General features: G+C 41.3%; 1 long non-coding RNA gene across 1 annotated transcript in view; it reads right to left on the bottom strand.

Moving 5' to 3' along the window:
- LOC102723568 (uncharacterized) overlaps nucleotides 1–15997 on the bottom strand; it is a 185086-nt gene that overhangs the window by 22764 nt on the left and 146325 nt on the right. The gene's annotated exons all lie outside the window — the stretch shown is intronic.

Below are 15997 nucleotides of genomic sequence, written 5' to 3'. Positions count from 1 at the left end.
GATAGTCCCTGAGAAGAAAAGATTAATATGGCACCTTGGCCTTGCCCTTCTGGCTCACATGAGGGGGATAGCCCAGTAGACCAGCTTGGCCCAAGGGAGCAGAACCGCCCCAGATCCAACCACACAAAGAAAACAGAGACCTTGAAAGAGGAAAAATAATATTTGTGGCTATTAATGAAATCACAATCACAATAATAATTCTAATGTCAGTAGCTAGCACTTGCCCACACTTAAACATGGAAACTCAGATTCTGGCAAATTCTGCCCACTTTCCAAGGCTTTCTGGGAGTCCCAGGTGATGTTTTATAGGCATTTGCACACAGCCCTGTTGTTTTGCACTCCAGCCTCTGTGTTGAAGTCTGATACCTGAGAGTCCCTCTATGTCCTTCATAATAATTCTGGTATCAGCCAGAGCTGTGTCTCTTGGTAGTCTCAGAGCCAGTAACTCAAAAGGAGCCAAACTGACATTTATCTTCCTACCTGGGCATCAAAGCATTCCAGATCTCATGGGGTCTGCTGTGAAAACAGCTGCTTCTGCATCTCTTTCTCTCTGGGAGGGTTTAGACAGGAGTCAAGGAGCCAGACTCATCCATTTGGGAATTGATATCTGCGACAGATGATTCTTTTCTTTTCACCTCATCCCTTTCCTTACCATTTACTCTCCCTCCACCCATTCTGTTTCACTATATCAGGTAAACCCCAATAATCTACACTTTAATGAGCCCCCTTCCTGGGGGGAGCACAGATACCACCTCTGAGAAGCAAAGATGTATTCATTAAAGGCTGTATGGCCTCGTGGCTGAAGCTGTGAAGTCAGACCTGGATCTCAATACAGGCTCTACTCCTTCATACTATCTCCTTGAGCAAGTGACATAATCTCTTTGTAGCCTGGTCTCCTTGATTACCAAATGAAGACAGTAACAGACTTAGCTCATAGGATTGTGGTTAGAATTCTACAAGATCATTCATTGATTACTTCCTTGTATAAATACCTTATTGAGGATCTGTAATGTTCCAAGTACTATTCTAGGTGTTAGGGATACAACATAGAACAAAACATACAAAATATCTGTCTTCATGGAGCTTAAGTTTCAGTTAGGGAGATAGACAATAAGCAGGAATACAATAGAATAAAATGTTGGGCGGTGATACAGTCTATAAAGCATAAATCTGATTAGGGATGGAGAGGGATGGCAGGGAAAGTATTTGAGAAAAGATAGTAAGATAGTTAGGAAAGCCCTCTTTGACAAGGTGGCATATGAGCAAAGATCTGAATGAAAAATAATTCAGCACTTTGGGAGGCCGAGGCGGGTGGATCATGAGGTCAGGAGTTCAAGACCAGCCTGACCAACATGGTGAAACCCGTCTCTACTGAAAATACAAAAATTAGCCAGGCGTGGTGGTGTGCGCCTGTAATCCCAGCTACTCATGAGGCTAAGCCAGGAGAATCGCTTGAACCCAGGAGTCAGAGGTTGCAGTGAGCCGAGATCACGCCATTGCACTCCAGCCTGGGTGACAAAGCGAGACTCCATCTCAAAAAAAAAAAAAGAAAAGGAAAGAAAAAGAAAAATACTTAGCGTATTTCAGGCATAGAATGTTTAATAAATGGGACAATATTACTTTCCAGGTTCTCATCTTCAAGATGCTCATAGCCTATGTACCTGGAAATGTGGCAGTTGCTTGACTTTATTTTAAAAAATACATCCCTAGGTCAGGTACCGTGGCTCATGCTTGTAATTCCAACAGTTTGGGAGGCTGAAGTGGGAGGATCACTTGAGGCCAGGAGTTTGAGATCAGCCTGTCTCAAAAAAAAAAAAAAAAATCTCTGAACAATATTTTAAAAACATCATCACGTTTCACAAACACAACTATTTTTATTTTAAATATTGCTTTTCATTAATATAATTCTTAGTCTCCCATCCCTGATCACCTTGCTACTTAGTGCCAGACCAAGGTGCAGAACTAGATGTTTGGGGTTTTTTGTTTTGTTTAACTTTTATTTTAAGTTCAGGGGTACATGTGCAGATTTATAACATAGGTAAATTTGTGTCATGGGGATTTGTTGTACTGACTATTTCATCACCTAGGTATTAAGCCTAGTATCCATTAGTTGTTTTTCCTGATGCTCTCCCTCCTCCCACTCTCCACCCTCCAAGAGACCCAGTGTGTGTTGTTCCCCACTATGTGTGCATGTGTTCTCATCATTTAGTTCCCACTTATAAGTAAGAACATGTGGTATTTGGTTTTCTGTTCCTGTGTTAGTTTGCTAAGGATAATGGCCCCAGCTCCATCTATGTCCCTGCAAAGGACATGATTTCATTGTTTTTTATGACTGCATAGTGTTACATGGTATATACATACCACATTTTCTTTACCCAGTCTGCCATTGTTGGGCATTTACGTTGACTCCATGTCTTTGCTATTGTGAATAATGCTGCAATAAACATACGTGTGCATGTGTCTTTATAATAGAATGATTTATTTTCCTTTGGGTATATACCCAGTAATGGGATTGCTGGGTTGAATGGAATTTCTGTCTTTAGGTTTTTGAGGAATTGCCACACCATCTTCCACAATGGTTGAACTAATTGACACTCCCACCAACAGTGTTCAAGTGTTCCTTTTTCTCCACACCCTCACCAGCATCTGTTATTAATATTTTTTGACTTTTTTAATAACAGCCATTCTGACAGGTGTGAGATGGTATCTCCTTGTGGTTTTGATCTGCATTTCTCTAATGATCAGTTGGACTTTTTTTCATTTGATTGTTAGCCACATGTGTGTCTTCTTTTGAAAAGTGTCTGTTCATGTCTTTTGCCCACTTTTTAATGAAGTTGTTTGGTTTTTTCTTGGAAATTTAAGTTCCTTACAGATGCTGGATATTAGACCTTTGCCACATGCATAGTTTGCAAATTTTTTTCCCCATTCTGTCACTTGTCTGTATACTCTGTTGATAGTTTTTTTATTTTTATTTTTTTCTGTGCAGAATCTCTTCAGTTTAAATCCCATTTGTCAATTTTTGCTTTTGTTGCAATTGTCTTTAGTGTATTCATTATGAAATCTTTGCCTGTGTCTATGTCCTTTATTGCCTAGGTTGTCTTCCAGGGTTTTATAGTTTTGGGTTTTACATTTAAGTCTTTAATCTGTCTTGAGTTAATTTTGTATATTGTATAGGGAAGGGGTCCAGTTTCTGTGTGTGGCTAACCAGATATCCCAGCACCATTTATTGATTAGGGAATCCTTTCCCCATTCCTTGTTTTTGTCAGGTTTGTCAAAAAATCAGATAGTTGTAGGTGTGTGGTCTTATTCTGGGACAGAACTGGATCTTTTGACCTCTGGTTCACTTTCTCACAAAAAGCCTGTCAGTACCTGAGAAGGGTAGCAATATACTTTCTAGAGTGGAGTTACTGTTTGCTTTTGGGGAATCTGGACAGTGGATGGGAAAGGGAGTAAGACATATTGAGTAGGCAACACTGTATATCACTCAGGAGCATACTTCTCTTGGTTGGAAAGCCAGCATGGATGGTATCACTGCAGAATTATCTCAAACTACTTGGGAACCACTGAAAGCTAATATTGCTGTAAAGCTCTTATTTTTCTAAAGTATGTTCCTTGAGCATTTATTCCATGGGGTTTCATGTTCAAAATCTTGGGGAAACATCACAGACTAAATTTATCTTCTGGAGATTCCCAAAGCATCTTAACAAATTAGATTAAAGGACTTAAGTTCTGCAGCAAAGATATCTGATTAACCTTAATTGATCCAAACTTCTTTGACTACAGAATCCTTTTCTCTTTTGACACTCATTAATGTGAACTTCTTGAAATGCCTCTATGAAGACACTAAATTTGAATCAAGTAAGCACATTTTAGAATTCTGGAATCTTACAAATAGTGCAAAAGTAGGCAATCAGTAAACAGGAGGTAATTGAAAGAAGTTCTTATCAGATACATATTCAGCTTATCAAACTTCTATATACAAAGGAGTGTTCTTGTTTAAGGTATCACAGGGGCACTGGCATGCAAAGATTTCAGAACTCAATTTGTGGGGACTTATTTTCAGAATCTCAACTTTGGAGACAGAAAGTAATCTTAATGAGTATTTTTAACACTTGTTCTGAACTATGTTGTCAAGAAACACCCATAGTGAGCTTTGTTAAAATGATTTTTAAAAACACATTGAAGTATGATAGATTGCAAATGATGTTTTAAAAAGCAAACTAGAAAATATTCAAGGTTGTCCATACCCTGTGGTTTCACTTTTATCACTCTACACTCCAATATCGTTTCCTGAGTGGGAAAGAGGGGTGGAGTTATAGCCAGCCTGCTGGGAACTGCATATAACCTGCTCTTATGGGTGCAGAGGGACACACCCTTGGGAGTGTGTCATGTATATAAATCTTATCTGTCATGTCTGTTATCTGATGGAAGAAAGTTAAGAAATGCTGAAGCAACACAAGCCCTACATTTTACAAATAAGAACATGGAAGCCTGGAGAGCAAAATAACATGCCTCGGTCGTTCGGACAGAAAAAACACAATAGAACTAAGACCCAGGTGTCCTGTCTCCTGGCTCTAAACAACCTGGTCTCTTCTGAAGCATCTGCCTCAGGTCAGGTTCCCTAGAAGCAGAGCCTGAGATGGAAATTGCAGTTTAAGAGATTTACTGGAGAAGTGTTCCAGACCCCACTCAATCTAGGATTCTTCTGTGTCACCCCATACAAAGATCAGTATTCCAGTATGGAGTATGCTACCTCCTAATCCCAGAGATGCCTGTCAAGCATTGCGCTTTTTTCTTATTTGTGTAAGGTGTAAAGCACAAAAACTTTTTAGATAGGATAACCCAGCATGCACAGAATAACCCATAACCCAGCGTGTTCAGATCACTAAACCCCTAAAAACTTTACTAATGTAGTGAACCCCTGAATCTTTTTAGTGTTTTTCTGTACAAATGCTATCCCTTGAAGCATATGTATCCTGCCAAGGCATTCAGATAATTTTCCACTTCTCATCTGGCTTGGTTAACATGATGACATCAAATATAGTGGGCCAATGTAAAGTTCTGCATAATCATCCGTTGGTCTAGGTCTCTTTGGACTATTTCATGATAGAGAAGGCAGGAAACAAACATAGCCCTGAAGCAAAACATTGCATATGCACATCAACTGCTTCTGATCCTTATTTCTGATGGGCATTTAAAATATTTGCCAGGTAATAGCTTAATATTATGGATATGAGGACATGTTAATCTGCAATTGGGGGAATTACTTGGTTATGTTTATAGCAGTACGTTGTTTTCCCCTATGATCCAGTTTTTTTTAGGGGCCAGGCTGATATATTAAATGAGGATATTGCAGATCCCACCACTCCTACATCCTTTATGTCTTCAAGAGTAGCACCAATATGCCATCCCCTCTAGGATGCCAAGCAGTTTCGTATCCTATCTTGACCAAAGGGTGAAGTTTTGGGGATTTTCACACGGCCTTTCATACCACAATTGCTTTTACTTTACAGGTCGAAGAACCAAAGTAAGTGTTCTACCAACTGCTAAGAATGTTCATTTCACTTACACATTTGGGAGCTGGGGTCATGATCACTGGGCAGATCCATGGCCTCTGTTTATCAACTGTGAGACAAACCTGGGTCAGAATTCCACTTGTTACCTGACTTGCATAAGCCCCTACCCTAAAAGCGGTCATGAAAGCACTTTGGGTTCTCATGTAACAGGATCATCTCTGACCTGATCTAATAGCATCTGAAAGAACTGGGTATTCCTTTTCCTTAGTGTCTAGACATGGGTCCCTTTGGGGAAGGACTTGCTGAATCACTATGGTATATACTTGTTATGATGCTGCAGTGTCTTTTCATGTGGCAACTGTATTAGTCCATTCTCACACTGCTAATAAGGACATGCTCGAGACTGGGTAATTTATAAAGAAATAAGCGTTTAATGGACTCACATTTCCACACGGCTGGGGAGACCTCACGACCAATGGCAGAAGGCAAAAGAGGAGCAAAGGCACATCTTGTATGGTGGCAGGCAAGAGAGAAGTGAGAGCCAAGTGAAAGGAGTTTCCGCTTATAAAACCGTCAGATCTCATGAGACTTATTCACTACCACGAGAACAGAATGGAAGAAACCACGCCCATGATTCAATTATCTCCCACTGGGTTCCTCCCACAACACGTGGGAATTAGCTGCAATTCAAGATGAGATTTGGCTGTGGAGACGGCCAGACCATATCATGGGGATCCAACCTTTCTGCAGTCAGTGGGTTTTGGATCTGAGAACTGACTTAGGTCTAGAAACTGGGCAAGAGATCCTGTTTTCCATTGGGATGGCTGACCTCAGCGTTCTGTTCATCTATTCTTAATCTCATTTGATTTTACACTTTAAGTGAATATTATTAGCTACAATCTATCTTGCCCCTAGGAATAATATGACCCATTAGCCACTTTCATTGATATGTATAGGTCAGGCCTCCTTGGGTGTCATTTCAATATTGCTGCCTGTTACAGTAATTATATCCACCTTGCTTCTGATGGTTGAGAGTTACCACCTGGCCTCTGCTATTCCAGGCCCAATTATTCTCATTGACTCCAGGGAGGCTGGTTCTGGAATAGCATCTTCTACTGTCAGCCCCAGCCTAAAGATAAAGCCTCTATAGCACTTCTCAGTAGTCCTGGTATCCACCCTCAGCCACTCCCAGTGCATTCCTTTTCACCTTGGTAACTAGTGGAACATAGCTGGTGAGTTTTCCAGTATTATATAGTTGACCCATTCTAGCATGCTCAGTTCTCTGAAACTTTCAATCCCTTCCTTCTCAGTCTTCCAGGCAATCTAGCATCTCTATCTCATTTATTGCAACAAATCACTTTTTCTAAGCTACTAACAACCACCCCATCAGTATATTAGGCATCTTTCCTGAGGTCCTTAACCCTACCTTGACAAACGTTCCCTTATCTTCCCACCTTCATCCAGCATCCTCATGATCCACTTCTAGGCCTACTCATCCAGCTCCTGCTGGCATATATTAACCCATTCCTGCACCTCCTTTGGCATATAATTTCTCTCCTCCCCTTGCAGGCCTGGTACCTCTCTAGTACTTGGTGAGACTTGACCTTAAGTCTTGTGTCCAGAAGAGAATGTGATGGCTGATCCTAAGAAGATAAGACATTATAAAGCACCTGCCTTATTTGAGGTCTTAGTCTTATCTAGAAAATGGATGGGGGCTCTATCTTCCAACAGGGGGAGTGGGCCATTTATGCCTGCCAAGAAGGTTTGGAGAAATCTGAAATGTGGGGGTTCTAAGGTTCTCAAGTGCACCACCCCCAATATCTGTATCCTAAGTCTTAGGGCCCCACTCTTTTCCTATCAGGCTCTTGACATTGGCATAAGATATTTGCCTAAGCTGAGAATTCAACCTGTTTTGAAGCTCTGCTTTCCTTACTATTAGAAAAGCAATCTGCTTGCCCTTCAGCTCTGTCCACTGTCTGGCTGCAGGAGATGAGTGTCTGTAAGTGTCATCAAAGGGGCTCTCTGTTTAAAATTGATGATTAATACATTTGAGCTTTGCATTTTCTCTTTTCAATGAATCAATGGCACTTAACACCAGTCCCCTAGTTCCACAGTCCTAAATTTTCTATTTGCTCCATACCTCTCAAATGCCAGAGACATTGTACTAAGCAGTGCATTCCCTTCTACCTGCATTCTTCCTCAGATTACCAGAGTGAAGTTCTTAGCTAATGTACAGCATGCCAGAGAGTATCAATACTCTATCTACTGCCAGGAGGGGTCCTCACTGTCATCCAGCCAGTGAGTGATCCACCCCCAGGATCCCATACCTTAGAGTCCATTTCCTATGACCACTATTGGCACCAACTGTCTTAGGTAGGTCTCCCCAAAAGCAGAGCTTGAGGTGGAGATTCTTGTAAAATTTATTGGAAAAGTGTTCTCAGCAGATTGGAAGTAAGGGAAGCAGAATAGAGCAAGGGAAAAAAAAGCTAAGTAAGGATGTGGTCTCAGCTGAAGACCCTCATCAGTCTGGTCTAATAGAAAGCTCTGGAGCACAAATTGCAGCACATAGTTAGGCACGCTTGAGGCAAAGATGTCAGCCTTTTGTGTCCCTGTGTCAGTCATTGGCTACTGGCTGCTCTCGGGGGGTAAGAACCTAGTGGGCAGACACCCTTGTTCAGCAGAGAAGTCTATGAAGAAGGACAGCTGCAGGTCATTAGTAGACTTTACTCATAGCCCCTGGGGGATGAGTGAACAAGCCAGGCAGCCACAGTGTCCACTACAGATAACTTCTGTAATGATAACTCCTAGTCCCTTAAGAGTAGACTCGATATTAGCAGACAGCCAAAAAGTTATTTGGATCCAACCTGGCAAATAAGATTAATGAACAATATAATATTGTTATGTGTTTTTCTTAAATACAAATAACATTTTTTAAAGGTGATAACAATGCTTTATACAAAGACTTTCCTCTTTTCTTATGTGGTTTATAAACTATTTTGCGTGTAAGTCCCATAAAGGAGTTCCACATACTTTTATCGAATGGTATTATCATTAGATTAAGTGTCTAAGTGATCACTCTGCTGTGGGCAAAACTCACTTTTATGCATAAGCTCATGAATGTGTGCATACAAATCAGATCAATCTCATTAAATAAAAATCTTAAAAAGGAGCAAACAATTTGCACTAAGAGAAATATGTGTTTATAAATATTTTTAAAATGGTATTTGACTTCTCTAGAGATTTTCAAAATGCCTAGGAGGCACTTTTCTATTTTCTTTGTGTTTGCAAAAATACCTCTGAGGATTAATTGACACAAGCATCAAGCATTTGGGGTGGAAGTATGCACGGGAGTATACATTTTGGAAGATAATTTGGAGATGTATATCACAATTCAGAAAAGAATTGATATGTCCTCAACCCAATAATTCCATTCCTAAGAACTGATTACAAAGAAATAATCCATGATCCCAACAAAGCTGTATATTCAGGGACATTCAGATAGTGTTATTTTATATTGGTGAAAAATTAAAAACTTAAATGCCCAAAAATTATAGAATGAGTACATAAATTCTGGAACATGTGGTCCAGATGTTGAAATACTATGCCTTGAAGTTGCCTTGGCTTAAATTCCAACTCTGTCCTTCCCTAGTTGTGTAACCCTGAACAAGGCAATTAACATTAATTAATTTTTTAAAATGGAGATTACAATAATTTCTATCTCAAGGGGTTGCTAAGAGAAAGTACTTGGAGCAGTGTCTGGCTCATAGAAATGTTATCACAGTTGTTTATACAAATACAAAGTATACCTATAATATGATCTCAAATTTTTACGATTAAACACAGTCATATGCCAAAGACTGGAAAAAAAATTTACTGTACACCGAATATCTTAGTCTTTTTGTGTTGCTATAAAGGAATTCCTGAGGCTGGGTAATTCATAAAGAAAAAGCATTTATTTGGCTGATGATTCTTATGGCTGAAAAATTCAAGATTGGGTATCTGTAGCTGGTGAAGGCCTCAGGATGCTTCCATTCATAGTGGAAGGTGAAGAGGAGCCAGCCTGTTCAGAGATCACCTGGTGAGGGAAGAAGCAAGAGAGAGAGAAGCGGGAGGTGCCAGGCTCTTTATAACAACCAGCTCTCCTGGGAACTAATAGAGTGAGAACTCACTTACCCCCAAGGGAGGACATTAATCTTTTCATGAGGGGTCAGCCCCTATGACCTAAACATCTCCCACTAGACTCCACTTCCCAATACTGCCACAAGAGATTTGGTGGAAACAAACTGTAACCAAAGCATAGCATTAAACCAAGGGTTCTCAGACATCTTGCTCTTAGGATCCCTTTACGCTCTTTAAAATTACTGAGTATCTCAAAGAATTTTTGTTGGTGTGAGTTGTATCTACCAATATTTACTGTATTCAAAATTAAAATAAGGAAATTTAAAACAGGAATACAGAAGCACACATGTTGTTAGAACAATGATGTCATCACATATCATGTAGCTTCTATAAGACTTCACTGTATACTCACGACAGAATAAGAGTGAACAAAACAGATAGGGGCTTGCTGTTACAAAAATAATTCTGACCGTGTGGACCCCTTGAAAGAGTTCCAGGGACCCCCAGAGAATGTTTTGGTCACACTTAGGGTCTGTAAAGCATCTGACACACAGTAGCCAGTCAATATTTGTCAAATGAGCTCAGCTCTTGAGGATGTCTCTCAGGTACTCCACCCTGCTTAGCCACCGCCCCAACCTAGGCTCTGGCCCGGGCCAGTCAGTCTGGAGCTTCCCTGTTGCCTGAATTTGAAGGCTACTAGCAGGACTTTGTGGTGCTCACTGCAGAGATCACCAGCAAGATTGAGAGGGTCCCCTGACTCCTGCCTGGGATATTTGCTTGAAGCCACTATCTCTGAACTTATGCCCCACTTATCTCCTAAAATCCCAGTTGCTTCCAGACGAGGTACATGATGTCTTAAAGAAGTTTATGAGTCCAAGTAAGGGAATAAGAGGAGAGAACGAAGGGAAGATATATATATAGATAGATAGATAGATAGATAGATAGATAGATAGATAGATAGATATAGATATAGATATAGATATAGATATAGATATAGATATAGATATAGATATAGATATAGATATAGATATAGATATAGATATATAGATATATATGCCACTGAGCTCTCCTGCCTCAGAGATGTTTGTGGAGCCATTGGCTTATGATGGCCTCATCACTTCATGGTACATCAACTCTGCTTCATTCCATTGCACAAGATGGTCTTGATTTTTATTGTTATTGCTGGAGATTACTTCCTTTGAATTGTGTCAGAGCCTCAGAACGTCAGGACTTGTGCTGGATTTTTGCTCATTTTTAATCGTAACCATTTTAGCAGTAGAAACATTGGTTTGTTTGGGCTAATAGCTTTTGCACTGGGAAGTTGTTTTATAAAGTAACAAAGTCATCCCTTTGCAAAATTGTAAAAACTGTTTCCAAGAAAACAGATTTTGTTACAATTGAGGGTGTTTTTTTTCCTTTATGTTTTAATGTAACAATTCCTACCACATAGAAGAAAACATGGAACTAGGTGCCTTAATAATAAAGCCATGCCTCTCCTTAGCTGAAGTTTAATGAGAGGGGGAACACAGCAGCTACATTACAATAGAGAGGAGGCTGCATTGCTGGCACTGGAAAAATGCTACTGACTCGAATAATAGTAATTCTTAAAAATGCAGTGGTTTCCCTCTTAATAACTTGTGCTTGCTGCCTTTGTAATCTATTTTTAATTGATAAATAGAAAAAGATGGAAAAAATCCATGTAGTTATGAATTTCAGATGTGTGTTTGGGGGACTACTGGAAATTAGTATGTACAACCATGGCAAAAACAATGTGATTTAAAGTAATTACAATAGCTCTCTCTGGAAATCATTAGTGGTTGTAGCACTTGAGTAAAATTGACCCAGAGGAGAGGAACTATAATTTGTTTGAGGAAAGGAGGTTACAAATTGGATGAAACTTTCCAGCCTAAGCAATTCATCCCACAACATATTGCCTTAAATTGAAGTAGAGTGGGCAGATCTATTGAAATAAAGCTTACTCTCTGCTGTGCATGTACAATGTATTAAGGTATTACTTCCAAAGAGAATAGAAAAGATTGAACATTTTAAAATTTTATTTTAAGGAGGAAATTTGATTACTCCATGATATGCTTTAAATTATAAAAAGACTTTGCTCTTAACAAAATTGTGTCAAATGAATCAACGTGGCTGGGCGTGGTGGCTCACACCTGTAATCCCAGCACTTTGGGAGGCCGAAGTGGGCAGATCACAAGGTCAGGAGACGAAGACCATCCTGGATAAGACGGCGAAAACCCATCTCTACTAAAAAATACAAAAAAGTAGCCGGGTGCGGTGGCGGGCGCCTGTAGTCCCAGCTACTCGGAAAGCTGAGGCAGGAGAATGGCATGAACCCAGGAGGTGGAGCTTGCAGTGAGCTGAGATCGCACCACTGCACTCCAGCCTGGGCAACAGAGTGAGACTCTGTCTCAAAAAATAAAAAACAAAAAAATCAATGTATGAGCAAGCGGTGTCTACAAACGAGCAAGGAGTGTTATAATAATAGTATCCACGCCAAGTGCTTTACACCATGGCACTATTATCCCTGCTTTATAGACAAGAATACAGAGGCTCAGAGAGTTTCAGCTCCTTGGCTGAAGTCACCAAGCCAGGAAGTAGCAGAGCCCATATTTGAACTCAGGTTTGTGTGAGCATAGAGTTATTTACCCAGGTCTATATAGCTCCACTGTCTTAACAGGCTTGTATGATTTCAGGGGTGCTAGGGGGGTTCCCACCCCAAGAAATGCTGGGAGAATCAACTCGAACACTGATATTAAAATCCCACCCTTAGAAATTCCTGCCCCTGACTGAAACCTGTAAAACTTAATTTTCTAAGCATAGGTTACACTGTTTCTGGGGATGGGGGAGACAGGCCTGGAGTAAGAGGAGAAAGGGAAATCAAGAGGCTGGGACCCAGCACGGAGGCGTGGATAAAGGCCACGGCAACATGAGGCTGGAGGGAATTGAGGACCAACACCCTTCTTCTCCTTCAGGTGTCCCGGCAACTAAAATCTGGGAGCCAATGGGAGGCAAAGCTCCTCAATGGGCTAGACTGACACCAGTGCTGCTTGGGAACCAGGTTTGGGAAGGATGGAAGCAGCAGATGGGCTCAGTCTTACTTAAACCTGAAGTCTCTATGAAGACCTCACTCACCCAAGACGCTGGCTTTCAGCCCCCCAACATCTCAGCAGAACTCCAAGAAGTACAACATTCATTTGGCTTCCAATGAATGCAAGCAAAATGGAGTTTCAGGACCATGGCAAAAAAAGTCTTCTGGTGAAATCAGAACATTCTACATAGAGAACCTGAGAACAGGGGAGGAGGCAGAAGTGGGAGCCAGGCTGAGGCAGGAGAAAAGACAAGAAGAATGTGACTGAAAAATTAATGGAGTGACCAGAAAGGTTTTTGGGGTGTGTGTATGTGCGTGTGTGTGTGTGTGTGTGTGTGTGTGTGTGTGTGTGTGTGTTTCTACCCATTGCAGGAGGAGAATGCATTTATTTGGTGAAAAATGTTTGCTGGGTGTATACTGAAATGCTACACTGGAGCCTATACATACAGAGTATATGGCTGGTATGTTATACCGGCCCTACCTCCTGACCTTTGCATGTTTTGTGTCCTCTGCCTGAAATGCCTTTTACATTATCTACCTGTCTACTCAAATTCACCCTTTAAGACTCAGCTCAGAGATGGTCCTTTCCAGGAAGCTTCCTGTGATTCCTCCTGCTCCCTCTCTTAAATTTCTACCCAAGTATGGATTATGCTGCTGAGTATTCATAAGATCTTTGCCCTTAGTACACTGGCCTGAAGTAATCCATGTCCACGACTGTATTCCTGGCTAAACTGACATTTCTTGAGGATCATGTCTTATCCATCTTTGTATCCCTGGTACCTGGCACTTAGTAGAAGCTTAGTAAATATTCATTGCATTCATTGTGTTGATTCTCCATACCTCCCTCTCCGTACCACTGACTAATTATGGACATTTAATGAGAGGCAACTCACATAGGATAAAGAACATAGTCTGGGCATCAGACCTGAGTTGCAGTCCTGGTCCTACCACTTTCTAGATCTATAGCCTTGGGTAAGTTACTCAACCTCTCTGGTCTTTGGTTTCCTCATTTGTAAAATGGAGCTAAACTCCCCCATCTTGCAGGGCTGTTGTTAGGATTTGATGAGCCGATTTAATCCCTGACACAGTGGATGCCCAGTAATTAGTTGGCATTCCTTTTAGTGATAAGTTGTAAAAGGTTAGGCAAGTGTTGGCAGGGCTAGGCAATTGCCTGGCCTTGATGAGGAGTAAAGTCTACTGCCCTCTAGGGGCTGCATGAGTAACCTGGGCCTCACTAGCATGGTGTGCTCTACTCGCAGGAGTCCTTACTGGTCCGTGAAGGGGAAGTGGGGAATCTGTCCTAGAACACAACCCACCACTACACCACTGCCTCCTTCTGGGGCTGGCATTACACTCAGCCAGGCTAGAGAGGCAGCTTTTGGTAAAAAGAACATCAAAGTGGCAAAGACACAGAGATGGCCTTACATAACAGGAGTGGCTGTAGGAGGTGACCCCTATGCAGTGAACACGTCTGACTGTTCCCTCCTCTCCTGAAACACAGCCATCCTACGGTCTCTCCATCTTCAGCAGGAAAAATGACCACAACACTGAAAACTGGATGAAAAGGAATGGCTGAAGTCAGCTTAAAGGCCAAGGAAGGGAAATGGTCAGGTGAGGGAGAACAAGTAGAATAATTTAGAGGACTCAGGGGCCTATAAGGGTTGTGTGATTAGAAAGCCCCTGCAGAAGAAGGAGGTTCCTTGAGGGACCAAGTGAGGAGAAGGCCTTCAACTGGTGGTTTAGTTAGAATCTGTTCCAGGTGCCATGCCAAAGGTGAGCTCCAAGGGATCACTGTGTTCAGCTTCAGACCAAAGGAAAGAACAGTTCTAGATGTTATGGATTCAATGTTAGTTATCAGTGAAGCATCGTCGGTAATGGGCTGTGCCTTCCTGCCCTTCCCATGTTAAAAGCAAAGTCAAGACATTTGGCAGAGACTGCTGACTATTCTCTGATAACTCCTCTGTCCTTCTTTCTGAGCTATAGGCTTGGAATGCAGATGTGATGTCAGGGGCTGGAGCAGCTATATAGGACCATGAGGTAGGATCATTAAGAGTTAGAAGGATTCATGGTATTTCAAGACTGTGGGTTTGTCATCTCAGCTGGCAAAACCAACTGTGAAAGGGAAATAAACTTCTACCTCTTGCTTTGAATTTTCTGTCACTCATAGGCAAGCCTGCTCTTAACTGATACAAGGAGCTCCATAATAGTTTCAAAGGCCCCAAACCTCCATTTTTCTGGAAAAAAGCCATGTAGACTAATGAGGTTGAGTAACAACTATTGAGTGCTTACTATATCCCAGTCATTGTCCTAAGTACTTTAATGTATTAGTTCATTTAATCCTCATTATAATCCCATGAAATAGGTGCTTTATTATCCTTGTTTTATAGATGAAGAAATGGGCATGAGATATATTAACCAGCTTGCTCAAGTTCACATACTAAGTAGTAGAACTGGTAACTAAACCCAGATCACCAGGCTTTAAACCCAGACTCCTAACCACTGTGCTAACAAAAATACAATCATATCAGAATTCCAAATCAAATTAGTTTTGGTTGTTCTCTGTCTTGTTTTCTATCACCCACAGTTGTTTTGTCCTTTGTTATTTTCAAAATGAGGGAATAAATGCATTATTTATTATAGCAGCTTGGGAGAAACGTTTTTGAAATGATGCCCATAATGATAATGGGAGAGTGGGGGCAGACTGATAAAAACAACTCCTTTTATCATTTGGGTACATCTACTCTAAATTGGTGGTCACCACATTATCTATATGGCATGCCCCTACCAGCATAACATTTTGGGTCACACACACACAATTTTTGAAGTGTGTGTGTATGTGAGTGCATGCATATGCATGCGCACACGTGTGGAATTCACATGTATTGCTGTAGAAATAGATTCTTGTGGTGGACACTGTGGTGCTCTGCCTAGACCCTCTCTTTAGAGTTAATGCCACCACCTCCCAGCAACTGGAAATATTTGTTGCCAAAGCCTCACAGCTACATTCCTGATTGGAAACTGCCCTTGGCTATAACAAACAGCTCACCCAAGGCCATGTACTCCCAGAGGGTGGCTTGTAGCCAGTGACTGACTGATGGGGATATAAAGACCCCACTCCATTGCCTCAATGCAAGACCACTCTCAAGGGCTATCACAGCCCCGGAGCTCCCGGTAGGGTTTGTTGAGACCTCTGTTGCATGTGCATTTTAGGTCAGCTTTCTCCTATGCCCAGTACTGCCCTCCTCACTTCCATATA

Source organism: Homo sapiens, chromosome 11 (genome assembly GCF_000001405.40).
Source record: "Homo sapiens chromosome 11, GRCh38.p14 Primary Assembly".
Lineage (NCBI taxonomy): Eukaryota > Metazoa > Chordata > Mammalia > Primates > Hominidae > Homo > Homo sapiens.
The sequence above is the reverse complement of the archived record's forward strand: the minus strand, read 5'-3'. Positions and strand labels throughout refer to the sequence as shown.